At 38.4% G+C, this 27,912-nt stretch overlaps 1 protein-coding gene across 6 annotated transcripts in view, besides 1 other annotated feature; it reads left to right on the forward strand.

Moving 5' to 3' along the window:
* Positions 1 to 27,880, forward strand: part of RAP1B (RAP1B, member of RAS oncogene family) — a 61,003-nt gene extending 33,123 nt beyond the window's left edge. For 2 of the 6 annotated variants that reach the window (NM_015646.6, NM_001010942.3), the window contains exons 2-8: positions 4,678 to 4,760; positions 6,379 to 6,447; positions 7,974 to 8,030; positions 10,091 to 10,231; positions 12,285 to 12,428; positions 13,080 to 13,196; positions 15,259 to 27,880. In NM_015646.6, the coding sequence (NP_056461.1) occupies positions 4,704 to 4,760; positions 6,379 to 6,447; positions 7,974 to 8,030; positions 10,091 to 10,231; positions 12,285 to 12,428; positions 13,080 to 13,166 (555 nt within the window). In that variant the 5' untranslated portion in view covers positions 4,678 to 4,703 and the 3' untranslated portion in view covers positions 13,167 to 13,196; positions 15,259 to 27,880. The remainder of the gene's footprint in view (positions 1 to 4,677; positions 4,761 to 6,378; positions 6,448 to 7,973; positions 8,031 to 10,090; positions 10,232 to 12,284; positions 12,429 to 13,079; positions 13,197 to 15,258) is intronic. The other 4 variants (NM_001251917.2, NM_001251918.2, NM_001251922.2 and 1 more) reach the window with 3 other exon arrangements.
* Positions 3,594 to 3,794: a silencer, noted in NCBI's record as "peak1779 fragment used in MPRA reporter construct". NCBI's record gives its function as "represses an SCP1 promoter by STARR-seq MPRAs in K562 erythroleukemia cells {active_cell/tissue: K562}" and the evidence as "EXISTENCE:reporter gene assay evidence [ECO:0000049][PMID:32103011]".
* Positions 27,881 to 27,912: the final 32 nt, after the last annotated feature.

Raw genomic sequence — 27,912 nt, forward strand, 5'->3', positions numbered from 1 at the left:
TTCCTCCTAGGCTGTCAAAATTACAGTCTGCATAACTTGAGGTACAATAGATTTCATTAAGACTTCTGTGATTAATATTAGCGGTCAGAGACAATGCCAATATTACAGGATTTTTGTTTAGTAATGTGTTTTTTAAATACTTAAAAGAGGGCTATTTCCCAGTCATTATCTCTGAACATTTTTAAATGATTCAAAATACTGATGTATGCACAGGTTTTTGCTTTTTTATATTGACATGGAGGGTTCTTACATGTTTTTGAGCTAGTAGATTAAAGAGTGGAACAGTGGGCCGGGCACGGTGGCTCACGCCTGTAATCCCAGCACTTTGGGAGGCCAAGGCGGGCGGATCAGGAGATTGAGACCAATCTGGCTAACGCGGTGAAACCCCGTCTCTACTAAAAAAATACAAAAAATTAGCTGGGCGTGATGGTGGGCACCTGTAGTCCCAGCTACTCAGGAGGCTGAGGCAGGAGAATGGCATGAACCTGGGAGGCGGAGGTTGCAGTGAGTCGAGATGGCGCCACTGCACTCCAGCCTGGGTGACAGAGCAAGACTCCATCTCAAAAAAAAAAGTCGAGCAGTGATTCTCAACTGAAGGAATAGCAGTCCTCTTTAGTGTACTGAGTGGCAGCTCAAACCATTGTTACTCTTATTTTAAAAGTTACTTTTTTTTTTTTTTTTTTTTGAGATGGAGTCTTGCTGTGTCGCCCAGGCTGGAGTGCAGTGGTGCGATCTGGGCTCACTGCAACCTCCACCTCCTGGGTTCAAGCAGTTCTCCTGCCTCAGCCTTCCGAGTAAGTAGGATTACAGGCATGTGCCACCACACCCGGCTAATTTTGTATTTTTAGTAGAGGCTTTGCCATGTTGGCCAGGCTGGTCTTGAACTTCTGACCAGCCTGGTCCAGCTGGTCCAGTGATCCAACCGCCTCGGCCTCCCAAAGTGCTGGGATTACAGGCGTGAGCCACCACGCCTGGCCTGAAATTTATCTTTTGTTGACGAGTATGTGCAAGGTGTTGTGTCAGTGACTCTGAAGAATTACTACATTTCTTTCCTTATTCTTTCTTTAATTTATTGATCACATATTTCAGGCACAGTTTCAGGTTCTGGGAATATGGCAGTGAGTAAAACAAAAAAAATCCCTATCCTCATGGAGTTTACATTCTTTGTAATCCATCTCACAACCTTATCATGTAGCTGTTACTATCTTAATTTTACCTGGAAGGAAAGTGAGGCTCTGAAAGGTTTCGTGACTTGCCCAAGATTATAGAAAACCACAATTTGAAACTTAGGTACCATTAGCCACTATGCTGTGCTGTCAAAATTGTCCCCCCATGGGGTTCTGTGAAAGAGAACAATTAGTCTCAATGTCTCAAATAGTAGTTGTCACAAATGTCTTTGAAAATCTGATGTAACTATTCCCATTTTTAATTGTGCATGAAATTTTAGGGAATTGACATATTTCAAAGTGCTCATTCTTAACCTGAGCTAAGGACTTCAGGAAAAGAACACTTGAACAGAAAGGTTATGCCTAAAGATCACAAATACGCTATACAAATAACAGGTGCTACAGCTCTTTCCCAGTCCCTACCAGCACCACAAGCCAATTATGTTGCTTATTGAACAGAGTTGTCTTTTCTGCAAAACTAGATGCAACCACACCATCCTAAAAACAGGATAATGGCTGTTGCCAGTCAGTCAGAGTTGGCATTCGCAATAAAAATCTGTTTTTCAGTCTTTTCAAGGCTGGTGTAGTAGAAAGCACAGATTTGAAAAATACTGATTCAAATCTTGACTATTGTACTGTTGGGTTTTTTTTGTTTTGTTTTGCTGTTTAAGGTAACAGAAATACCCTGATAATATCCCCAAACTGGAAATCAGCTGGTGTGAATGGGTAAAGAAAATATCATGTATTCATGTGGTATATTTTAATCAACAGTAATAAATAAAAGGAGCAAGTTACTGATAGATACAATAATATGGATGAACCTGACTCATTCTAGCAACAAATAATAATGCTCATTCATGGATAAATGAAGCAGCTGGGAAAAAGAGTCCCAGTCACCTCACTAAGAAGTGTAGCTCCCACAGCCAACTCAGCCACCTTTGTGAAATAAGAAAGGCATACGTCTCTTAGAAAAATCACCTCTGATAAATGTATAGTTTTTATATTCAGTATTTTAAAATTGTAGTTTTTATGTTGTTTCGGTCAGTTGTGTTATGTTTGGAGGTTTTAGTGAATATATAGTTATGCAGCCATCACTACAACCAGTTTTTGGTGTGTTTTTTTTTTTGAGATGGAGTGTTGCAGTCTCACCGGGGCTGGAGTGCAGTGGCACGATCTCAGCTTACTGCAACCTCCACTTCTCGGGTTCACTCGATTCTCCTGCCTTAGCCTCCCGAGTAGCTGGGATTACATGTGCCCACCACCATGCCCAGCTAATTTTTGTACTTTTAGTAGAAACGGGGTTTCACCATATTGGCCAGGCTGAACTCCTGACCTTGTGATCCGCCTGCCTCAGCCTCCCAAAGTGCTAGGATTACAGGTGTGGGCCACTGCGCCCGGCCCACTACAACTAGTTTTTAGAACACTTCCATCACCCCCAAAAGGTTTCCTGTGACTATATGTAGTCAGTCCCACTCTCACTCCCAGTGGAGGAAGGGTGGAGAATTGGATGCTCATATTTCCTTTGGAGCAGCAATAATGAACAGATTTGGGGTTATTGTACTTCCATTTGTTAGTGAACATGCAACATCAGTTCCTCCTGTGGCTCTGTTTGTACAAGTAGCCTCATCTGTGGGCTTGCATTTCTTCGAAAACAAAGACCTTTTTATTTAGTTTTTTCTAGTTTGTTTGTAAGACTCTGAAAATCTCAACCATTGTAGATTTTTTCGGATTACCAATTTTCCATTTTAGGTTTCCTATTTCAGACCTGAACCCATATACAAAAAGAAAGGCCATCTCTTTACTTTAACTGTTGGGTCTTTGCCAGAATACTTTTGAAAATTTCCTTAAATCAATTTTTATTTTGTATCCTATTGAATCTTTTTGAGACAGAATCTCACTGTGTTGCCCAGGCTGGACTCCAGTGGTGTGATCTCAGCTCACTGCAACCTCCACCTCCCAGGTTCAAGCGATTCTCATGCCTCGGCTTTGCGAGTAGCTGTGATTACAGGCGTGTACCACCACACCCAGCTAATTTTTGTCTTTTTTTGTAGAAACAGGGTTTTGAAGCCGGGTGTGGTGGCTCACGCCTGTAATCCCAGCACTTTGGGAGGCCGAGGCAGGTGGATCATGAGGTCAAGAGATCGAGACCATCCTGGCCAACATGGTGAAGCCCTGTCCCTGCCCCCCACTCCACTCCCCGCCCCCCCCCCCCCCCCCAAAAAAGGGTTTTGCCATGTTGGCCAGGCTGGTCTTGAGCTCCTGATTTCAAGTGATCCACCCACCTCAGCCTCCCAAAGTGCTGGGATTACAGACATGAGCCACCACATCTGGCCGAGTTCTTGATTACCTAAGCTATCCTGGTCAGATACACTGCTCTTTTTTTCCCTTTTTTTTTTTTTTAATTTCCCCAACCTTGCTAGACTGCTGGTCTTACAGGATTTTGGGGAATTAGGAAGTTCCATGGTTGGCAAACTTTCAAAGACAGGAGCAGGTTAATGTTAGCTATAGAAGCACTGTCACTCAAGTGAAGACAGTTGTTGATTGGTTGGCTTTGGGATGTGTCTGTTTAACAGGCCATTTTTGATTGCCTGAGTTTCAGAAGTAAGGAACCCTCATTAGTTGGTTAGTTTGTAGAAGCATATCCTCTGAGGCAAATTGTTATTAGTTGATTAAAATCATTTAAATCAGTTATAGTAGCTTTGTTAACCATGACCCAAAAAACTGTCATTTCTTGATCAGAAGTTTTAAAATCTGTTCTGGTTGCTACCTTTGTACCACTTTACTGACTCTTTAGTTTTTTTCTAGGAATGTAGGAGCCTTTTATTCTCATGTAATGCCCCCACCCTGGAATCCTTGAAGACCTTCTGTCTATTGTTCATATACTGAAATTTTATAATGATAAGCCTTGGTATGGATTGTTTCTTTCTGGATATATTTTGTTTTTATTTCTACTATTTCATCATACTAAACATTCTAAGTAGACGTTTTCAGTCTGGGAACTCATATTCTTCAGTTCTGCCTCTGATTCAAGACCATTTTCAGGTTGTCTGTACGTTCCCCACTTTAGGAATAAATATTTGGTCTTCTGCTTCCTCTACCAACATATTATATTTACCATTTATGTATGCCAGGGCTTGGCCAGATACGTAAATATTTAGGCTCTGTTGTAACTACTTTGCTGTTACAGCACAGAAGAAACCACAGACAATACACAAATGAGTGGATATGGCTGTGTTTGAGTAAAACTTGATGTAACAAAACAGGTGATAGGTTGGATTTCTTTTCAGACCTGTGCTCTATCCTGGATCGGGCTCAAAGTCATGTCTGTAATTCTGTAGTTTTCTTCTACCTCTGAGCATCTTTTAATAAGTCTGCTTATAGGGTGCTCCATACTAGGGTTGTATAGTAATCATTTTAAATAAATCTATTTTCCTGAATGTTTTATTTCTGTGAAAAGCACAGGAATACACAACTTTACTTAGAATTCTTTTTTTTTTTTTCCTTTAATAAGGTACTAGGTTTTGACAAGCTTGCATCATGCGTGAGTATAAGCTAGTCGTTCTTGGCTCAGGAGGCGTTGGAAAGTCTGCTTTGGTAAGTCATTCTTACTTTACCTAAGCCTTTCACTCCAAGACGTTCTTTTTCTGTTGAGTTTTAGGTTTTGATGATTTGTCTTTGTTAAGATAAAATTCCTTAATGACTTTAGAAGCAATATAATATTTTTCTTGTAATTTTATTCAACTTTTAATTATATCTGGGTGGATCATATTCTCTCTGGAACATTGACTCCAGAATGACACGAGTTATGCTGGAATACAATTTGAGCTAAGCACAGAGATTGAGAGCGTACAAATACATGTCTTTTTGCATTCGCATTTCAGAGCCAGATAGGAATAAATTTTGGTCTTTTTATTTATTTATTTTTTTGAAACAGGGTCTCACTCTGTTGCCCAGGCTAGGGCTCAAGTGATCTCAGCCTCCTGAATGCTTGGGACTACAGGCACGTGCCACCATGCCAGGCTAATTTTTAAAATTTTTTGTAGAGATGGCGTCTTGCTATATTGCTTAGGCTGGTCTTAAACTCCTGGCCTCAAGTAATCCACCTTTGCCTCCCAAAGTGCTGGAATTACAGGCATAAATCACCATGCCTGGCTTGCTCTTTCTTCTTATGAATAGTCTTACCCTGTACATTTTATGTTAGAAAATATCAAAGCTTATAAAAAGTCTTCAAATATTACCTTTGACTGTCCAGCTTTACATTTTTTAACGGCACGTTTTCTGCATCAAGGAATGGTATAGCAAGAATGAAGACATAACTGGGTAATGAGGGTTGGGAAAGAGGAAAAACGTAGGGAAAATAATTTGATGAATAGTTCAGAGCTTAGCAAAGCCTCACAAGCAAATAGATTGACCTTCTGTCTCACTCATAAGATAAACCATCTTGGCCACTTAGAAAGGCCACCTAGCTGAGAAGTGTCATGCTTGGAACAAACTGAGAAGTACATACAATGTGAAATGAACTGCTTTTTCATTTGTATCCAAAGTGATGGGGAGGTCAGTTGATCCTGCATGTATGTGTGTATACATAACAATTAGTCAATTTCTAATTTAAAAATCAAATTTAAGCTCTTAAGACTGAAACAATGCCGGCACAGTGGCTCACGCCTGTAATCCCAGCACTTTGGGAGGCTGAGGTGGGCGGATCACCTGAGGTCAGGAGTTCGAGAGCAGCCTGGCCAATATAGTGAAACCCCGTCTCTACTAAAAATATAAAAATTAGCCAGGTGTGGTGGTGCATGCCTGTAATCCCAGCTACTCGGGAGGCTGATGTGGGAGAATGGCCTGAACCCGGGAGGCAGAGGTTGCAGTGAGCCAAAATTGCGTCACTGCACTTCAGCCTGGGAGACAGAGCAAGACTCTGTCTCAAAGAAAAAAAACAAAGGACTGAAACCAGAGACATTTAAAATTTTTTAATATATGATCTCTAAATTTAGAATTACCCAATAAGGAGCATAGTGATTATTTATTTAAAAATAAACAGCTTCCTGAGGTAATTTTCTTACCAAATGTACACATTCGAATGTAGTATTGGCTGTGGTTTTTTTTTTCATTGATGGTGTAACTCCCTGTGTGAACTCAGTTTACAATTACATTAAAGATTGAATGTACTCTTTTCTTTAGAAGTATAATGGTTTCTTAATTTTTTTTTCAGACTGTACAATTTGTTCAAGGAATTTTTGTAGAAAAATACGATCCTACGATAGAAGATTCTTATAGAAAGGTATATATTACTTTGGAAGGCCTTTTGCTTTTGATTTTAATATAAATACTTATTTTAGCTTTATAATTATTGAATGTTTTATACAAAGGATGGAGGCAGAGTTAATTTATAAAATTAGTGGGAAAAGTTTACACTTTCTGGCATTGCATAGTTACCAGTTTAAGAGGATCATAAACACCCATACTCTCACATATTCACAGAATTTTTTGTAATTTGACACATAAACTTTAAAGCAGACCATCCATTTCAAGTAGTAGCCCCATGTTACTTTCAGTCCCCTACCTAGCAAGACTGATTACTCTCAAGCTCCCTTCTTTTTAACCTAGAAATAGGTGGACACAGGTCTTCCTAAGCTTTCTACTTACTAACCTCTTGAGAAAGTGCCACCACTCACAATACTGGTTGAATATCCCTTATCTGAAATAACTGGGACCAGAAGTATTTCAGATTTCAGATTATTTTCTGATTTTAGAATATTTGTATATACATAATGAAATAGAATGGGACCCACATCTAAACAATTCATGGTTTCATATACACCTCATACACATAATCTTACATAATATTTTTAATATTCTTATGCATGATACAAAGTTTTGGCTGCATTTTGACTGTGACTGGTCACATGAGCTCATGTGTGGAATTTTCCACTTGTAGCGTGATGTTCCACACATGGCTCAAAAACTTTTGGATTTGGAACATTGCAAGTTTTGGATTTTTAGATTAGGGATGCTCAGCCTATAGAAAGGTGAATTCCTGTGTCCACTAACAGCATGTGACAATAAAACAATGTGTAGACATTTTTAACTTAGTAGGGAAAGAGGTATTTCCCAACCTCTATGAAGCAGCCAACCTGGCCCCGCTGTTGCACAAATACTGTGTTTCCATTCCTCCCTCCATGTGCATAGTCTACCAAAAAAAAAACTGGAAACTTTTGCACCCCAGCTGTGAGACAGTATTACTCTTTTCTTTCTACATCTAATTCTAAATACCTATTTTTCCCTAGGAAATATTAGATGGAAAGGGGTAACAGGGATATATGTGTAATTTATTTAATAGCTGTGCCACTGCTTCCTTAATTCCAGAAATCTTGTTCCAGTATGGTGAGGGCATATAGTTACCTAGAGAAATGAGGTATATCTAAAGTATCATGGGAGAATTTAGACAGAATTACTTATGATACTGTTGGAACTGTTGCTGGTTTTGTTTGTTTATTTGAGCTATTTCGAAACTATTTTTTTCTCTAGAATTAAGTGCTGAGAATCCATATTGAGACTGGTTCGTGTAGGTTTCCCTGTGTTGACTTGAGAACACATGGCTTTTGAACTTGATTACAATTTGGGGGTCTTTGAATCTTGATTACTTAGCTATTTTTCCTCCTGCTTTGTTGAAGTATTGCTGGATATTAGTTTGTAAAGTTGTTAAAATCTGTGTGTCTTATTTTTGATACATTAGCTTTTTTGTGTATATTAAGGTAGTTTTATGTACATTGAAAAAATGAACATGTATTTTAATTTTTCTACCAGCAAGTTGAAGTAGATGCACAACAGTGTATGCTTGAAATCTTGGATACTGCAGGAACGGTAGGTAAAACTAAATACCAAAGTATATACACCGTTTGTACAGTATTGACTTCATAAATGCTAGTACTCTATAGACAAATATTAGTTAAGCTTATTTAAAAGTACTGCTTGCAGCCGGTTGTAGTGGCTCACACCTCTATTCCCAGCACTTCGGGAGGTCAAGGTTGCTGGATCACTTGAGGTCAGGAGTTCGAGACCAGCCTGGCCAACATAGTGAAACCCCATCTCTACTAAAAATACAAAAATTAGCCAGGTGTGGTGGTGGGAGCCTGTAATCCCAGCTACTCAGGAGGCTGAGGCAGGAGAATCTCTTGAACCCAGGAGGCAGAGGTTGCAGTGAGCCAAGACTGTGGAGATTGTGCCACTGCATTCCAGCCTGGGTGACAGAGCGAGACTCTGTGTCAAAAAAAAACATAAGACTACTAGTTGCTAAACTTTAAATCTTTTTGTTGTTGTTCCGTTGAATCCTTAATTTTATATTGGCCGGGCGCAGTGGCTCACGCCTGTAATCCCAGCACTTTGGGAGGCCAAGGTGGGTGGATCACTTAAGGTGAGGAGTTCAAGGCCAGCCTGGGCAACACAGTGAAACCCCGTATCTACTAAAAATATAAAAAAAATTAGCCGGGCGTGGTGTTACACACCTGTAATCCCAGTTACTTGGGAGGCTGAGGCAGGAGAATAGCTTGAACCCGGGAGGCGGAGGAAGTATATTGCACTTTTTGTAATTGCAGTGGGTCAGTTATTGAAAAGTTTAGAAAATGTGTTAGAAGAAAAATTTTCAGTCTCACTAGTACTTTTAAAACAATATATTACCATATTTCAAATAATACAGGCATACATTCATTCATCAGCAGCTGTGTGAAATATTTTGATTGAGCTGGGTATGATGGCTCATGCCTTGTAATCCCAGCACTTTGGGAGGTCAAAGGGGGGTGGATCACCTGAGGTCAGGAGTTCAAGACCAGCCTGGCTAACATGGTGAAACCCGTCTCTATTAAAATACAAAAATTAGCCAGGTGCAGTGGCAGGCACCTGTAGTCCCAGCTACTCGGGAGGCTGAGGCAGGAGAATCGCTTGAACCCTGGAGGTAGAGGTTGCAGTGAGCTGATAACACACCACTGCACTCCAGCTTGGGTGACAGAGTGAGACTCCATTTCAAAAGAAAAAGAAATATTTTGATTGGTATCTGTTCTCCTTCAACGTATTTATAGACAAACTAAATTTGTAGGTATGTGAAGATGAAGGGAAGATTTGTTCTCGGTGTATGGTATTCATTCAGCTAATGTTTGAATACCTGATACATGTCAGGCACTGTGTTGTTACCTTCAAATGCTCACAGTCTAGCAAAGAAAAAGTAGTGTGGGAAAATGGGATGGTCTAGATCATGCTGATGGAGCCCTACAGAACTACAGCATTTGAGTCATAGCTAATAGATTAACTTGGCAGATACAGTTGGGGTGCTTTATACATGATGATGTATTTTAAAAGCTGCCTTTAGTAACTTTTGGGGACAGGATATTTCTGTTCCACTTGAGTATATTTTTTGTATATAAATCGACTTTGGTGTATTGTTTTTAAATAGGAAACCTATTTCCAGCTGGGCGTGGTAGTTCACGCCTGTAATCCCAGCACTTTGGGAGGCCGAGACGGGCAGATCACAAGGTCAGGAGATGGAGATCATCCTGGCTAACATGGTGAAAGCCCGTCTCTACCGAAATACAAGAAAAAAATTAGCCGGGCATGGTGGTGTGCGCCTGTTGTCCCAGCTACTCGGGAGGCTGAGGCAGGGGAATCACTTGAGCCCGGGAGGCAGAGGTTGCAGTGAGCCGAGGTCGCGCCACTGCACTCCAGCGTGGTGACAGAGCAAGACTCCGTCTCAAAAAAAAAAAGAAACTAAAATGCCAATTTTTTCAAATAGTATCTTGTCATAGATTATAATTTTAACAAAGTTACATAATACTACAGTATTCTTCATTGAGCTATAATTATAGACTGTGAAAATTGTAAAAATAACTGTCAAAACATTATTGTTTTTTAACGTTCCTTTCTTTCTATTGTAGGAGCAATTTACAGCAATGAGGGATTTATACATGAAAAATGGACAAGGATTTGCATTAGTTTATTCCATCACAGCACAGTCCACATTTAACGATTTACAAGACCTGAGAGAACAGATTCTTCGAGTTAAAGACACTGATGATGTAAGCTGACTTCCAAATAAATATATTTTATTTCAAAACCCTGATTATAATTGTTTAAGTCTAAATTTAAATTCATTTTAAAGCTTGTGTATTTTGGTTGGGGGGGGGGTGTTGGTTTTTTTAAACTTTTTCCTTGAAAGGCAAAAATACCCATACATGTTTTCAAATATATATCATGTGGAAAGTGAGAAATTTCCTCCTTTGCCATTATCCTGTGAAAATTAAATGTTACACCCTTCCTTTTTTTTTTTTCCTTTGAGATGGAGTCTTGCACTGTTGCCCAGGCTGAAGTGCTGTGGTGCGATAGCTGTACCTCCCGGGTTCACGCCATTCTCCTGCCTCAGCCTCCCGGGTAGCTGGGACTACAGGCGCCTGCCACCATGCCCAGCTAGTTTTTTGTATTTTTAGTAGAGACAGGGTTTCACCATGTTAGCCAGGATGGTCTCGATCTCCTGACCTTGTGATCCGCCTGCCTCAGCCTCCCAAAGTGCTGGGATTTTAAAGGCAAGAAATACATTAGATTCTAACATTATTAATTTAGGTGCCCCTTCAGAGTCTACCATAATGGAGTTTAATTCCTCATCACACTAAATATAGCAGTGGTTCTCAAAATTGATTTTGCATCAGAATCACCTGTAGGACCAGTTAAAACAGATTGCTGGGCTGAGATCTCAGAGCTTCTGATTCAGTAGGTCAGCAGTAGGACCCAGGAATTTGCATTTCTAACAAGTTTCGAAGTGGTGTTGGTTTTGCTGATCTGCATACTGTAAGAACCAGGCTGGGCATGGTGGCTCACACCTCTAATCCCAGCACTTTGGGAGGCCAAGGCGGGTAGATCCCCTGAGCTCAGGAGTTCAAGACCTCCCTGGGCAACATAGCAAAACCCTGCCTTTACCAGAAATTTAAAAAAAAAAAAATTAGCCAGCATGGTGGCGCGTGCCTGTGGTCTCAGCTATTTGGGAGGCTGAGGTGGGAGGATCACTTAAGCCTGGGAGGTGGAGGTTGGCAGTGAGCTGAGATCACATCACTGCACTCCATCTAGGGTGACATAGTGAGACCCTGTCTCAAAATAAATACATAAATAAGACTCATTGTACTGCAGTTTAATTTTAGCAAATATTGTGAGAGCTGGGAGACACCCATGGTAAATGCTTTTATTTTCTGGACTTCTGAAACAAGGGAATTTGGGGGGACCCTACATAATTACAGCAACCTCAGGGAACATTTTTTAATTTGTAAATCCATTTAATAAGTGGCTTGATTTTTAGTAAATTTTGATTGGCTTTTTTTTTTTTTTTTTTGAGACGGAGTCTCACCCTGTCGCCCAGGCTGGAGTGCAATGGCACGATCTCAGCTCACTGCAACCTCTGCCTCCCAAGTTCAAGCAATTCTCCTGTGTCAGCCTCCCAAGTAGCTGGAATTACAGGCGTGTGTCACCATACCCAGCTAATTTTTGTGTTTTTAGTAGAAACAGGGTTTCGCCATGTTGGCCAGGCTGGTCTCCAACTCCTGACCTCAGGTGATCCACCCGCCTCGGCCTCCCAAAGTGCTGGGATTACAGGCGTGAGCCACTGTGCCTGGCCTTGATTGACTTTTTTAATACAAGACTATGAGAAACTAAAAATTCTATTTTGGGAGCCTTCCGTCCATTATGATAAAATTTTAAGGTTTTTTCCCCCCATCTCTCATAACAGGATCATAGCTTGTTTTCTCAAAAGTTTATGTAAAAGTGTCTTATTTATGTCTACATTGACTAGGTTGTGTTCATTTTACTTAACATATGAGAGTTTTCTTTCTCTCTTTTCTTCCCTTTGGAGTTATCGTTTGCATCTCCATGAAAAGAGAAGGCAGTGGAGATAATTGACATCAAAGTTAATACTTATGTTTATGTTACAGATTAAATTGTTAAGGCTGTAAATTTTATTATACATTATTTAATATTTTTTGTGGCATATGAAAAGTAATTCTTAGATTTGACTCTTAGAATTCTTTTGATTTGAATTCATATAGCATATTTACTTATTTATTTTTACTCTCACAAATGTATTTTTAGGTTCCAATGATTCTTGTTGGTAATAAGTGTGACTTGGAAGATGAAAGAGTTGTAGGGAAGGAACAAGGTCAAAATCTAGCAAGACAATGGAACAACTGTGCATTCTTAGAATCTTCTGCAAAATCAAAAATAAATGTTAATGAGGTATGGTCAAATATACTTAAAATGGGTCTTCATTTGAAGTACAACATTGAAGATGAATGGAAAATGTCTTAACCCCAAGTTAATATGTACTCAGGGTAATATGTTGATGTTACAGGCAAAAAAAAAAAACCCTCATGTTAAATGTATCTATGTAGTAAATAAACAATACTATTTCAGTCTCTATTAAATACTTGTACATTGATATTTACCATGAAAAAGGAAGACTGGACAGAAAATACATGGATAGGGAAGACAGATTAAGACTTCAGGTATATGAAGGATGTTATATGAAAAATAGAGTAAAATTCCGAAAAGTATGCATGGTTCTTGAAAGGCTCCAAGTCATGTTGTAGAGCAAAAACTTACAGTTTTTAAAAGGATTTTTTCTTTGTGTGATGGTAAATGTTCTAATTGAACTAAGTTAAGATCTCTGCAGCTCCTTCAACTAAGTATTTTAAGGAGCACAATATTAACACTCCCCAAAAATTTGAGCTTGGCAGTTATAACACCTGATTTTATTCTCATTCCTTAGCTGAACAATTCTGGGCATTAATTTATATCCATGGAAATTTCTGTTTTTTCAATTTACTTTTTTCATTGGGGGGGATAGGTGTTCCTCCTGTAAATTAAAACAAATTATTGTATTTGCAGATCTTTTATGACCTAGTGCGGCAAATTAACAGAAAAACTCCAGTGCCTGGGAAGGCTCGCAAAAAGTCATCATGTCAGCTGCTTTAATATACTAAATGCATTGTAGCTCTGAGCCAGGTATGTTCACTTATCTTTCCTCTAACTTTTAATCACTCAACCTTATTAAGGGCACTCTGTCATGAAAGCAAGTATAGACTTCTTTTTGTTGGTTCTGAAAAATAAATGGTTTATTTTTATAAGATATCCATGAGTTAGTATGCTATCTTATTAATTATTTACTTATCATCATGAGTAAAGTATTTCACATAAGTATTCTTTTTTTGAGATGGAGTTTCACTCTGTCACCCAGGCTGGAGTGCAGTGGCGCAATATCAGCTCCCTGCAACCTCCGCCTCCCAGGTTCAAGCAATGCTTCTGCCTCAGCCTCCCGAGTAGCTGGGATTACAGGCACGTGCCACCACGCCCGGCTAGTTTTTTTGTATTTTTAGTAGAGATGGTGTTTCACCATTGTTGGCCAGGATGGTCTCAATCTCTTGACCTCGTGATCTGCCCACCTCGGCCTCCCAAAGTGCTGAGATTACAGGCGTGAGCCACCACTCCCAGCCAACCCCGTCCCTAATTTAAAACACACACACACACACACACACACACACACACACACACACACACACACGTGCGCGCGTGCGCGTGAGCCACCGCTCCCAGCCAACCGTCCCTAATTTAAAACACACACACACACACACACCCCTGACATGTTCATCATGTGCCAGTCACACACACACACACACCCCTGACATGTTCATCATGTGCCACTTTTTTTTTTTTCCTTCAACTTTTAAGTTCCAGGATACATGTGCAGGATGTGCAGGTTTGTTACATAGGTAAAGGTGTACCATGGGGTTTGCTGCACAGATCTTGCATCGGTACCTGGCACATAGTTAACACTCAACTATTAGCTGCTGCTGTTTGCCAATGATAATGGTTTCCTCTTCAGCTGTCATTAAACTGTTTATTGTTAAACTGTTAATTTATTCTTAAGAACCTTTGACATTCCTGACTCTTATTTCTTCCTATGTTAATTGACTCAGTGCTGCCATAGCACTTTGATTCTGCATCTTTTCAGAGTTTTTATTCCTGCCTTCCATCTAGGGCTTTCTGTTTAGTGGTATATCCTCTCATTCTAATATCCTATAATTCCTGACCACATGCCCATTCTTAGCAGCACACATGTGCTTGAGCTCACACACTTCCATCTGTCCTTTTTAATTTGCAACAGTCTGCCAGGATTTAGAAAACTTGATTGCAAACCTCATTCAGACTCAGAATGAGGACCTAAAGTTCTAGGCATTTGTGAAAATTATTTCAACAGCCACATATGTATTAACAACTCTTCTGGAGCTTGTAACAAGTCTGATCACCAGAAAAATATAATAGGGAACATTTTTTTAGCCGAGGCATGTATGCAGAAAACTATTCAAAGTACATATTTAACAATTCTAAGTTTACTTTTTAAAATCTTTAATTACATGTGATTTTAGTGTAATACCACCTTTTTCTGACATCAGTCTTAATAGAATGTTTAAATATGGAATTAGAAATTATATAACGTGATTGTAAATCTGTAAAACACCATCATGAAATAAATTCTATTTGTCTGCTCTGAACGAGCTTTTTAGCCACTTTCATTGAAAGAGTGAGGAAGAACTTGATTATCTGATACTAGAAACCTTGGTTAGATGTGCATTCTATACTTATGATCTAATTCTAGGAGTACATTACGATTGTGTAAACACAGGATCACCCAGTTTGTTAATATTGCTATCTGACTTTTCAATCCTAATTCTAATAAGGTTGACTTGACTAACAATTTTAATGTGATTTTTTTCCTTTTTAATCCTTGGAAGGTAATGCACAAAAATTTGCACAAAGGTACTTTCCCTTTCTGTTCCTAAGATTTTCATTTAACTGACTTTCAAGAGGGCAGCAGAATAGACTTCATCTTTTTGGAATGAAAAGGTCTGCCGTGAATTGTGGTATGTTGCCACTAATGTAATGCCTAGAACAAGAGCCTAGATTATATTCATTTCTAACACTTTTAAGACTGTTTTCTTAACTGTTTGCTTTTGGGTCTTTACTTTTTCTAGCCCATGTTTTTAATTAATTTTTTTCCTTTTGACAGGTCTGAAGAACTGTTGCCCAATTCAACAGTGCCAGCATTCCAACTTTGTTAAACCTACCAACATCTTAAATGGACTTTCCTGTGGTGGTACCCTTTAAGAGGCGGATGAAAGCTACTATATCAGTTTGCACATTCTAATCACTTTCCAGTATCACAAGAGAGATTTTTACTTATATAATAGTCCTAGAGTTTGCAGCTGGTAAAACCAGAGGCTACATCCAGTATTACTGCTAAGAGACATTCTTCATCCACCAATGTTGTACATGTATGAAAATGGTGTACTGTATACTTTAACATGCCCCATACTTTGTATTGGAGAGTACAATAATGTAAATCCTAAAAGCACCACTATTTTAGCATAATAAAAGAAAGTCCAAAGAGCTCCTATATAGACTACTCCAGATAACTTCGCTTCTTTGATACTTGTAGCTTATTGTAATTTTTTTTAAGAAATTCAAGGTCATTATTATTGTACAAAATAAGCGCTTTGATTAACACAGCTATATAGTTTTTTTAATTTTTAAAAAACCTGTGGAGACGGTGATCTTGTCTTTAAAACATGATAGTCCTTTCAGTATAATGTCTTAGATTAAAGACGTTGCCTTTAATATCTGTTGGGAAGGAAATGTCCAGACTTTTCAAATCTCTTATTATATGTTTCCTTTTTTTGTTTACATAGGGAACAATGTTTATAGTCGTGTGTACAGTGGGGGTCTACAACAAGAAGTGTATATTTTCAAACAATTTTTTAATGATTTAACAATTTTTGTAAATCATTTTCAGGCTTCTGCAGCTGTAGATTCTCACTGTGAATCCCTTGCTTGCTCATGCATAAGTGTATTTGCAATACCAAATATACAGGTTTAGTATTTTTGCCTGTTAGTGATTGTTTCACATGTGTAACGTTTTGGTTGAGATGTTAAATGGTGGACGAGTACTGTGGATGTGAATGTGGGAAGTAATTTTAATCATATGTAATTGGTCACAAGGCCTAATTTGCAGTAACTATTGCTGTTTTATTTAACAATGCCTTGTTGCTTTGTATGCATTAATGTTTGGATGTAAAGATTGTGTGTCTATCCAACAGGGAGCCACAGTATTTAAATTGACCAACCTAATGTTACAACTACTTTGAGGTGGCCAAATGTAAACTAAAAGCCTTAATTAAAGTGGTGCAATTTTGTATAACTTAGCATCAGTAGTTCAATAAATTTGGATTGCCATGCAAGGGCTTGCATTATAATTACTTGCCACTTGAATGTGTTTTGTGTAATGTTTTAACAGTGCTAGTAAATAAATACGGGTTTACCCTGGTTTTAATTGTAATAGGTGCATTTTACACAGCATGGTTTCATAATTTAACATCTGGGCAAGCCAGACTCATTAATTACAGGAATAAGGAAGTAGCGAGTTTTCTGGTATTGTTTGAATATCCACATAACCACCTTTTGAACTTTTCCTTGAGAAATAATTTTGTAAATCAAGCAGTATTACTTACGAATAAATGCCTTTGGGTAATGTTCAGTAGCTATTTGATGAGGTAGGTAAAAGAGGAACGATTTAACATACTTTCATGGATGTTACACTATGGATTTTTTAAAATACAGGATTGAAGTTAGAATATTGTGGTTATAAAAATCTTTGAGTGATGTGGATTAAGCACTTAGAGAATCGATATTTTTCTTAAATATGCTATAATTGAATTCTGTAAGAACTGAATTCTTATAGAATTATTTTAAAACTTTTTAAAAATTGTAAAGCTCTTAAAAAACTTTTTGAAAGTATTTGCCAGCTACTGGAGCAATTAATCAGTGATAATATCTAATAGAGGGGTATCTGCTAATCCCCTAAATACACGCTGTTTGAATGATACATTTTTAAAGGCTTTCATGTTAAGAAAAAGTCTGATTCTTTACAAAAGGGACTTGTTTTGGCAGAACTGGTTTTATTTATAATCATTTGGGAAAAAAATTAAGCCCAAAAAACTGGGACTGTGAAACACTAAAATTACTTCAATTTACTATGTCCTGTTACATCCATTGATACCGCCATTATTCAATAATTACTTTTAATAAATGTTTGCTGCCTACCAGCTATGTACCAGGCCCAGTTCTAGGCTCAAACAGCTAAATATTCATTCATTGGACAAATTAAGTACTTAAGTATAAAAATTGTTCTAGGCCTAAGGATGTAGCAGCAACCAAGATCAACTATAAAATGCTGCCCTCCTAGAATTTATATTCTATTGAAGAGTTTCTCAGCCTCAGCACTATTGATGTTTTATGTTTGATAATGTATTCTGGCGACTCTCCTGTGCATTATAGGAATTTTAATATCTGCCCACTAGATGCCAGTCACACCACCCCAGCCCCCAAGTTGTGGCAACCAAAAATGTTTCCAGACATTGCCAGATGTTCCCCAGTTGGATTGTTGGGGGACAAGGGAGGTGAACTTGGAGGGCAAAATCACCCTGGTGAAGAACTACTGCTCTGGTGGGAAACAACACATTAGTTACAGATGAGTGTTAGGGTTACAAGATGGATGGTTTACTATATAGTGAATAAGAATATAAAGTTTGGAGCCAGACTTCCTGGGTTTTTAATCCCAGCTCTTCCAGTTCCTACTATATGCCTTTGGTTGGGTGCCTTGGTTTCCTCATCTGTAAAATGAGAATGATAATACCTACTTCATAGGAGAGTGAAATGAATGCCAGTGCTATCCTCTAGGTCTATATATATATATATATATATATATTATATATAGTACATATATAGAGAGAGTATATATATATATGTAGTACAGTGGAGGTCTATATAATACTATATATATAATTTATTTTTTTCAATGCTGATAGGAATAAGGCTGTGGTTTGGCAAAAAGCACCATTTTCTCCTATACAAAATAGTAACTGCAGTTTGGGAGCACAACTCATGTAGATTGACTTTTCTGGTGCTTAATGGGAAAATACTAAAATAATTGAGTCAGAAAAGGCATGAATTCCTTTTCACGTCCCCAAGGATACTTGAAGAAACTTGAGTTTTAGGAGAAAATCAGAGTGGTCTTTCACTTACATTTTTCTAAAAAGTGTAAAAACCCTGTATTGACTTTCTTGTTGATTCAGTTGTTTCTTAAACGTAAATAGCTCATCTTTACCATATGTGGGCATTACAAATAGAAATTTTTAAAATTCCATTTATAAAATGAAGTTTTGCCGTTTTTTTTTTTAAATCATTCCGTCTTTAGTTGTGGGACAGCAAACTTAGAATCGAAACTCATCACTACAACTTTTCTTTGAGTTAAACTCTTATCTGTGTTTTCATTGAATTTAATCTCCATCTATTCTATCTCTTCTTAAATCTTGGAAATGTAAAAGGGAGTTATAGTGTTTTACAATTAATACTCTTACTATTACCTTAGAAGCCTTAAAAGTGCTTGCAGGCTTGTCTCATAATCTGTCAGTGAGCCTTAACATTGTGATTTGTAAGACTAAAATTTTTTTTTCAAACAAAACAAATCTGACAGCCTGGGCAACATAGACCCCATCTCTACAAAAAAAAATTTTTTTTTAATTAGCTGGGCATGGTGGTGCACGTCTGTACCTGTAGTCCCAGCTATTCAGAAGGATTGCTTGATCCCAGGAGATCAAGGATACAGTGAACTGTGTTCGCGCCACTGCACCCCCACGATGGCAATAGAGTGAGACCCTGTCTTAGAAAAAAAAGATAAATAAGTCTGTTCTATTTGTTACAGTGCATCAACACATTTGAATTTTCTTTTTTTTTCTTTTTCTTTTTTTTTTTTGAGACTGAGTTTCGCTCTTGTTGCCCAGGCTGGCGTACAGTGGTGCGATCTTGGCTCACCCCAACCTCTGCCTCCCAGGTTCAAGCAATTCTTCTGCCTCAGCCTCCTGAATAGCTGGGATTACAAGCATGCACCACCACGCCTGGCTAATTTTGTATTTTTTGGTAGAGATGAGGTTTCTCCATGTTGGTTAGGCTGGTTTCGAACTCCCGACCCAGGTGATCCGCCTGCGTCAGCCTCCCAAAGTGCTGGGATTACAGGTGTGAGCCACCGCACCCAGCCTAATCAATACATTTGATATTTCAAGAATACATGAGAGAAGAGAGGTAGATTGAGAACAGAACTAAACTTTATATATGTTTCCTTAACTATTGGGAGGAAAATGGATGAGTCTGTGTTGGGATACCTGTTGAAACAAGACTACTAAACAGATTAATCAACTAATTCCATAGGCTTGACATTAGTTTATCTTTGAAAAGTAAAAGTAAAGTGCTTATTGCTAAATAGGTCTGTATTCTAAATGCTGCCATTTTTTAAAAAAAGTATTCCATGTTACACACATTTTAAACTTGCTTCTTAAAACATCCCTGTTGGTGGCCTGTAGGTTACTGACCTTAGGAATTACAGGCTTTATCCAAAATTAGGCATATCTACCTGATTTTTGTATCTGAGAATCAATAAATGCATTCAGTATTCTCTACCGTGTTTCAGGCGCTGTTTACAATATCGGAGGTACAGCAGGGATTTTCTGCCCACGTGGGGAAAACACACAGCAAATGAACAAAGCTCTATTGGTAACAGTCTGTTAAACTTTCTAAGAGCTTTCCAACTTTCTAAGAGAAAATTGTAATGATTTTAGAAAAGTGAGCTGTCATTTTTCATATATATAAATTTTTTTATTCATAGGTAATCTAATTTTTCTCATTTCTCCAAAAGGGTACGAAGACAGTTTTTACTATGTTGTTTTACTATGAACCTAGTTTAACCTGACTTTCCTTACAGACCCACATAAATGAGACAATCCAAATTTAGTATTTGGGTCAAAATGCAGGGTTTTTTCCTGAAAACAAAACAGCACACACATATATTACAGGATTTTTATGTAATAATATATTCACTTCAGTCAGGTTTCAGTTTTTAAATAGGCAGAGATCAAAAGCCTCTAATGTTTTTGTCATCCGCCATTATTACCCATTCAAATTTCTATTTATGTCTGGTAGTTATGTCCCCTGTGAGCACTAATTTCAGAACAGGAAATTCTATTAACTGTCAAACTCTTTAATGTGCAGTGCAGTAGGTTTGGAGCAGAGGGGAGTAGGAAGGAGTAAATGATATAATCCAGTCTGGCCTGGCATGGTGGCTCACACTTGTAATCCCAATGCTTTGGGAGGCCGAGATGGGTGGATCACTGGAAGCCAGGAGTTTGAGACAAGCCTGGCCAACATGGTGAAACCCCGTCTCTACTAAAAATAACAAAAATTAGACGGGCACGGTGGTGTGTGCCTGTAATCCCAGCTACTCAGGAGGCTGAGGCAGGAGAATCACTTGAACCTGGGAGGCCGAGGTTGCAGTGAGCTGAGATCACACCACTGCACTTCAGCATGGGCAACAGAGTGAGACTGCAAAAAAAAGAAAAAGAAAAAAAAATCCAGTCTCTGCTGGCAAGGTGTTTAACAAGTCAATGATGGGAAAGACCAGTCAAATAAACTATCAGATCTAATAACTTTTCTAACCATAGGTGATTCTTCTTCCATTATCCATACTAAAGCAAGTGACTCATAATAAAAATTGTTATTTTGTAAAATATATGGACTGTTTGCTTTATATTCCCAACTATTACATCTGGTTGACTATTAACAGGTCAATGTCAGATTTCCTGAGCAAATCAACCAATAATGAAAAACTATGTGGCTGGCAGAAAAAAATAAGTGCGTGTGGTGGTGCTTGCCTGTAATCCCAGCTGCTTGGGAGGCTGAGGTAGGAGGAACTCTTGAGCTCCGGTGGTTTGAGGCCAGCATGGATAACATAGGGAGACCCTGTCACTTGACAAAAGTATCTTTCCCTACTGGAAATGGAATAGAATCGGATGGGTATGGTACAGCAGGTAGTTATGGGGAGACCTCTACTGTTCTAAATGAGACTAATAGTAAATGTTACATAACTAAAGCAACAGATTTGCCAGCTGTGTGAAAGATAACCCAGAGAGGGGTAATGGTAGAGCCAGAATTAACACAGCCAGCTTGTCAGCTACCTTTGAACATGTATTTTCTGTGCAGTCAGATTTGAAGGGTTGGACCTTGGAGTTACTGACATTGGAGGCAACTGAAACCATGAGTGTGAATGAAATTATTTTCGTAAGAATTACTTGGGGTTAAAAATAGTAATAAAAAGGAAAGCCTGGCCTAAACAGTCTTGGGATGGGGAGAAGGGTTGGAGTACAAAGGATTGCTATTACAAAGACATGGGCAGAGAACAAGGCAAATAGCTGAGCAGCAATTGAGAATACAGCATCTTTTATGGCAAAGAGCAAAATACTATTGTTCCTCTTCTAGTATGCTATAGACCAGCAGTAATTTTGTGCTCTAAAATGCTTATTTTTATCTCTCTGTATATACTTGGTGGTGAATTTGCTACAAATGTAAGGAGATGATGGGATAGTTTTTGGAAATACCATCCTCTAATTAGTACCAGGTCTATGTATATCTGCAGCAACTATAAAGTCTGTTTCAGAGTCAGTATTGGCAAACTTATATTTAAATTCAGCTGTAACAAGACATCTTTTTTTTTTTTTTTGAGAGAGTCTGGCTCTGTCACCCAGGCTGGTGTGCAGTGGCGCGATCTCGGCTCACTGCAACCTCCGCCTCCCAGGTTCAAGCAGTTCTCTGCCTCAGCCTCCCGAGCAGCTGGGATTACAGGCATCTGCCACCAAGCCCTGCTAATTTTTCTATTTTTAGTAGAGACGGGGTTTCGCCATCTTGGCCAGGCTGGTCTTGAACTCCTGACCTCGTGATCCATCTGCTTCAGCCTCCCAAAGTGCTGGGATTACTGGCATGAGCCACTGCGCCCGGCAAGTTGTCTTTCAAATATATGCCTTTGCAGTATTTCTCTACTTCCCCAGTAATGTAAACTTTATTTTCTCTCAATTTTCGTAAGTGGTATTTTGGTGCTTTACCCAAAATATTAGGGAGAAAATTCTTCTTTTTAATTGGATTCTCGTATGTTGATCTATTTCTATTGTTTTCTAAAAAAAAGTTAGTGTCCTAGTTTAAAAGTATATATTAGTTTCCTAGGGCTGCTGTAACAAATTATCACAAATTTGGTGGCTTAAAGCAACAGAAATGTACTCTTTCACAGTTCTGAAGGTCGAAGTCCAAAATCAAAGTGTTAGGATGTACTCCTAGAGGCTCTCGGAGAGAACCTGTTCCCATGGCATTATGCCACATCACATGTGCCTCTATCTTTGTATCTCCTCCTCTCTATAATCTTTCTTTTAAAAGGACAATTGTTTTGACATTTAGGGCTTACCCACATACTTCAGGATAATCTCATCTCAAAATGCTTAATCACATCTGCAAAGACACTTTTTTCAAATAAAGTTAACAGACAGAAGTTTGGGGGTTGGGATGTGGACATGCCTTTGGGAGCCATTAACAACCTACCAAAACATTTTAACAATTTTTCAGTACCAAAGACTAGTATGGGTCTGCTCCAAGATAACTCAAAACATTCTGAACTGAATCAGCAGACCCTCAGGTCTCCCTAGAGAGATCCTGAGCACCTAGGAAAGCCCCAGAATTAAGCTACTCTACAAGGATTCTGAGGGAAGTCTGGGATTAGGTGAGACTTTAATGAGTCCATCAGAGGTTTAGTATGGACTAGTTCTACAGTTCCAGAAGCAACATACTGGGTATGGAATATTGTTAACCATTGTCATCCCACAGAATTACCTTCTACTTGTGTCAGTATATATCCTGCCTACCCTACATATTTTATATTTATCAATGATGACAGAAACTTCCCCCCTTTTACTTAGATCTAATAGTAATATAACAAACTTTTCTTTTTCATTTTCAGACATATCCAGAGGGTTTTCTCTTCATCTCACGCATCCCACCTTTAATCAGACATATGTGATTCATATGAGAGAAAATTAGTGTTTCTGAGACCAAATGGTGGTGTTTATAAGATTTTGCTTCTGCACTGAATTCAATGTTTTATTTACTGCTTGGTTATTTTGTTTTTGTTTTTTAAGAAATGGGAGGAGTGTAATATCTAGAGGTACATGAAAAAAAGAAATGGAAGGAATGGACAGGCCCAGAATTAAATGATAAAAACTCATCTGGTTGGAATGAAGTACACTGAACATTTGAGGAAGTTAGAGATTAATTCAACCCAGTGGGTTTTGGGGTTTTTATATGTGTTAGTACATTCAGCGTTAGGGTTGGGTTTCTTGTCTCTGTAATCACTTCTCAAAAATGAATTTGGGCTTCTCCAGATAGCCTTTTTATCCATTTATTATTTCAAGTAATGGTATAAGGAAATTGTAACCATTTGTGTGCTTTACATGTTTAAGATACAAACTTACAGTTCCCAGAAGTCAATTCAGTCATTCTCTATAAGAGCTGTTGTGGAAAAAGTTCTCACTTCACTTACTCATTCCTTTGCATTTTCCAACTTTAGTAAAGCATGACTTCATGCCTTGGATCATACAGGATTTCAACGGGAGATTTATAAGTCTATTTTGTTAGAATAAAAAGCAATAATACTTCCTGAAATACATCTTGGGCTCTTTGCAGAAGCTGAACTATCTGGTAATTACTATTTAGCAAACAGCTAACAGCTAGCTCTTAATTTTTCAGAAATAAGAGGACATCATTGGCCACTATCATACCACTAATTTTATTCCACCAATGCTTTCACAGAGGATGTCACCAAAGAAAGAAGTGGCATCCACTACCCCTCCCCCATCCTTCCACTCTGAACCAGTACAGGATATTCTCATGGTCAGGGCATTCTCTCCTTGGCAGGATGTAGTTAATGACATATGCAGAATTAATGACTTGGTTGCCCTAGGCCCCCCGTCAAGGCTTTTGTTCAAGGGAGAGTAAAGAGGATAGGTCTCAGTATGTCATCCAAACAGGATGGATACAGAATGCCAACCAGGTTAGCCCTGGCAAGTTAAGACATTTTACAGTGCCACTACCTACCTCCATACTGTATCAGAGGAGCCAGTTGCACAGTGTTGATCTCCCTAAGACTATTATAATAAGGAAGGGGTTTTTTTCTTAGCCCAGTTACTACTAAAACTCACTCAGAGGAGCAAGTGAAATTTGTCACAATTGGCTCGACTGCTTTATCTCACTTTGAAAAAGAAAAGTTACAAATTCTAGTAAGCAAAAGATTTTTTGTGACCAGGTCTCCCTGACCTGCACAAAATAAACTCTTCATGAGTTAAACCAAAACAGATTTAATGTCTAAACTTAAATCTAGTTTGACATTAACTTCTTTTCCAAAGAGAAATAACGTTAACAATCTGAAATCATCCCTGCACAGACTTTCTTGGCTCTTCTTTTCTGCCGTCCTATGAATCACAAATAGAAGTTTAAGAAAGCTGTCAGGTAGGCGCCTCAAATTCATTTAAAATGAGGAATGATGAAAGAATAAGAAAAACCAGCAAATGATAGCTTACTTATTCAGTTATTTGGCTTGATACTGCTTGAAAGTGACATTTCTAGATTAAAGATCTGATAAGCTCTGATAGTTGGGAAATAATACTAGTTATTTCTTGGACACCCTAAGATGTGCCACCATTGCTCTAAGCACTTTACATGTGTTGTTCAACCCTCAGCAATGCTATGAAATAGGGGCTGAGTCTCCTAATAGAGCTAATGAATGCATTATATCAAAAGAATGAAATGTTAAATATAGACACTGGAAAATAAAATTACTTTTGCTTGTATTATAAGTGAATACCTTGAAAGCTCAAAAAAATCTATTAGAAGTATTCAGGAACTTGGCTGGATATAAGATAAGCATGCCAAAAATCAATAGCTTTTCTTTATATTTATAAAAAATACCTACAAGTTGATATAGTAAACACGACAGATAAAAACTAAATGCCTTAAGGTATAAGGCTAAGAAAGAACTATTATAAACTCTTATTGAAGGACATAAATCAAGATCTGAACAAATACACTGGGAAGATAATATCATAAAAATATCAATTCCCCCAAATTAGCATGTTAATGTATAATGATTACAATTTAAATTTCAACTGGCTGAGGCTTTGTTTTTGTTTTTGATTTTTTAATAGACTGGATGTTGGTCTTGAACTCCTGGGCTCAAGCAAGTGTCACACCTTGGCCTCCCAAAGTGGATTATAGGCATGAGCCACCGTGCCAGACTTGGGTGAGGTTTTGAAATTGAAATTAAGCAAAATGGGCCGGGCACGGTGGCTCACACCTGTAATCCCAGCACTTTCGGAGGCCGAGGGGGGCGGATCACGAGGTCAGGAGATGGAGACCATCCTGGCTAACATGGTGAAACCCCGTCTCTACTAAAAATACAAAAATTAGCCAGGCATGGTGGCAGGTGCCTGTAATCCCAGCTACTCTGGAGGCTGAGGCAGGAGAATCGCTTGAACCCAGGAGGCAGAGGGTGCAGTAGCTGAGATTGTACCACTGCACTCCAGCCTGGGTGACAGAGCAAATCTCTATCTCAAGAAAAAGAAAAAAGAAAAGAAATTAAGCAAAATGATCTTAAAGTTCAAGTGAAAGAGTAGAGTAGAACTGAGTCCAGAACTAGATTCCAGTATATGACGTTTATACGTGACAAAAATATATTTCTTTTTCTTTCTTTTTTTTTTTTTTTTTTTTGAGACAGTTTCCCTCTTGTTGCCCAGACTGGAGTATAATGGCACGATCTTGGTTCACCACAACCTCCGCCTCCCAGGTTCAAGTGATTCTCCTGCCTCAGCCTCCCGAGTAGCTGGGATTACAGGCATGTGCCACCACGCCTGGGCTAATTTTGTATTTTAGTAGAGATGGGGTTTCTCCATGTTGGTCAGGCTAGTTGCGAACTCCCAACCTCAGGTCATCTGCCCGCCTCAGCCTCCCAAAGTACTGGGATTACAGGTGTGAGCCACTGTGCCCGGCCGACAAAAATATATTTCAATAGAAAATAGTATCAGTAAAATGCTAGCACAACTAACTATCTGTCTAAAGACAATAAAAGTTCAACCCCTATATCATGCAAAAAGCACTTTCCAGATATATTAAAATGTTTTCAAGCTATAAAGTAAAACAGTAGAAGTCTTAGAAGAAAATCTAAGAGACTAGAAATCTAGAGATAGGGTAGACCTTCTTAGCTAATTTTTAAAAATGAAGCTATATTTAAGATATATATTTCAAGTAAATAATAAGTGTGTGTGTGTGTACACACAGATGCTTCTCAGCTTACAATGGGGTTATGTCCCAATAAGCCCATCAGAAGTCAAAAATGTAAGTCGAAAATGCATTTAATACCCTGATAAATCCATCACAAAGCTGAAAAATTATAAGTAAAACTGTAAGTCACAGACTGTATATATAAATTTAAAATTTGGCAAAATATATTGCAAAGTCAAATTTGGGAAAGTATAGCACAGATAAAAGATTAAACTATTCACGGCCAGGCACGGTGGATCATGCCTGTAATCCCAACACTTTGGGAGGCCGAGGCGGGTGGATCACCTGAGGTCAGGAGTTTGAGACTAGCCTGGCCAACGTGGAGAAACCCCATCTCTACTAAAAATACAAAATTAGCTGGGTGTGGTGGTGCATGCCTGTAATCCTAGCTACTCAGGAGGCTGAGGCAGGAGAATTGCTTGAACCTAGGAGGCGAAAGTTGCAGTGAGCCAAGATGGTGCCATTGCACTCCAGCCTGGGCAACAAGAGTGATACTCCGTTTAAAAAAAAAAAAAAAAAAAAAGGTAAACTATTCAAAAGATAAATGGTTGAAAGATATATAACTAGGCAGTTTAGATAAGAACAAATCCAAATGGCCCATCAACATAAAAAGATGCTCTAACTGTAGCCAGAGAAATACGAATCAAAGTACCAACGAGCCCAACACATGGACGAAAACTTCAGAGAACACTACAGTCCCAGAAGAGAGGTAAAGGGCAAGAAATGAATCATTTATTGCTGATGGAAATGTGCATTGTAGAGCTGATATCTGTTCAAATTAAATATGCATATTTGACCTCAATTCTACTACTGATATCTACACCAAGGAAATGAAAGGAAATGCACAAGATTATTTATTGCCACACTCTAGAAGGAAAAACAGAGTGCATGCCCATCAATAGAATAGTTGAATAAATTATGATTCATGCATAATATAGAACATTATGCATTCATTTAAAAATGAGTTTGATGTTTAAAGGTTGACTTAGAAGGATTCCCGTGCAAAGTGAACAAAACAGAATACCGAGAAGGATGTATGTGAGGGATGCATGTGGGCACCTGGGAAAGGAGATGAAGAAAGCAACTGAAGGATATTTACCAAGTTGTTAATATGCATTACCTGACATGGTGATATAGGAGTAGGGGTGAGGAAGTGAAGGATCTGAGTAGGTGGAAAAAGAAAAGCAAAAGTACAACAGCGGGAGAAAAAACAGGATGACTCGTCTAGAAGAGACATTGTCAGTAACAAGTAAATAACATTTTCTGGAATATAAAAAAAAAAGCTATATGAATGTCATCATTATATGTAAAATATGAATGTAAAATACATGGGAGGATAATATGCATTAATAAAAATTATGGTGCTGGCAACAGTATCATGGATGACTGTATTATTATTTCCTTTTCC

The sequence above is a fragment of the Homo sapiens genome, chromosome 12 (genome assembly GCF_000001405.40).
Source record: "Homo sapiens chromosome 12, GRCh38.p14 Primary Assembly".
Taxonomy (NCBI): domain Eukaryota; kingdom Metazoa; phylum Chordata; class Mammalia; order Primates; family Hominidae; genus Homo; species Homo sapiens.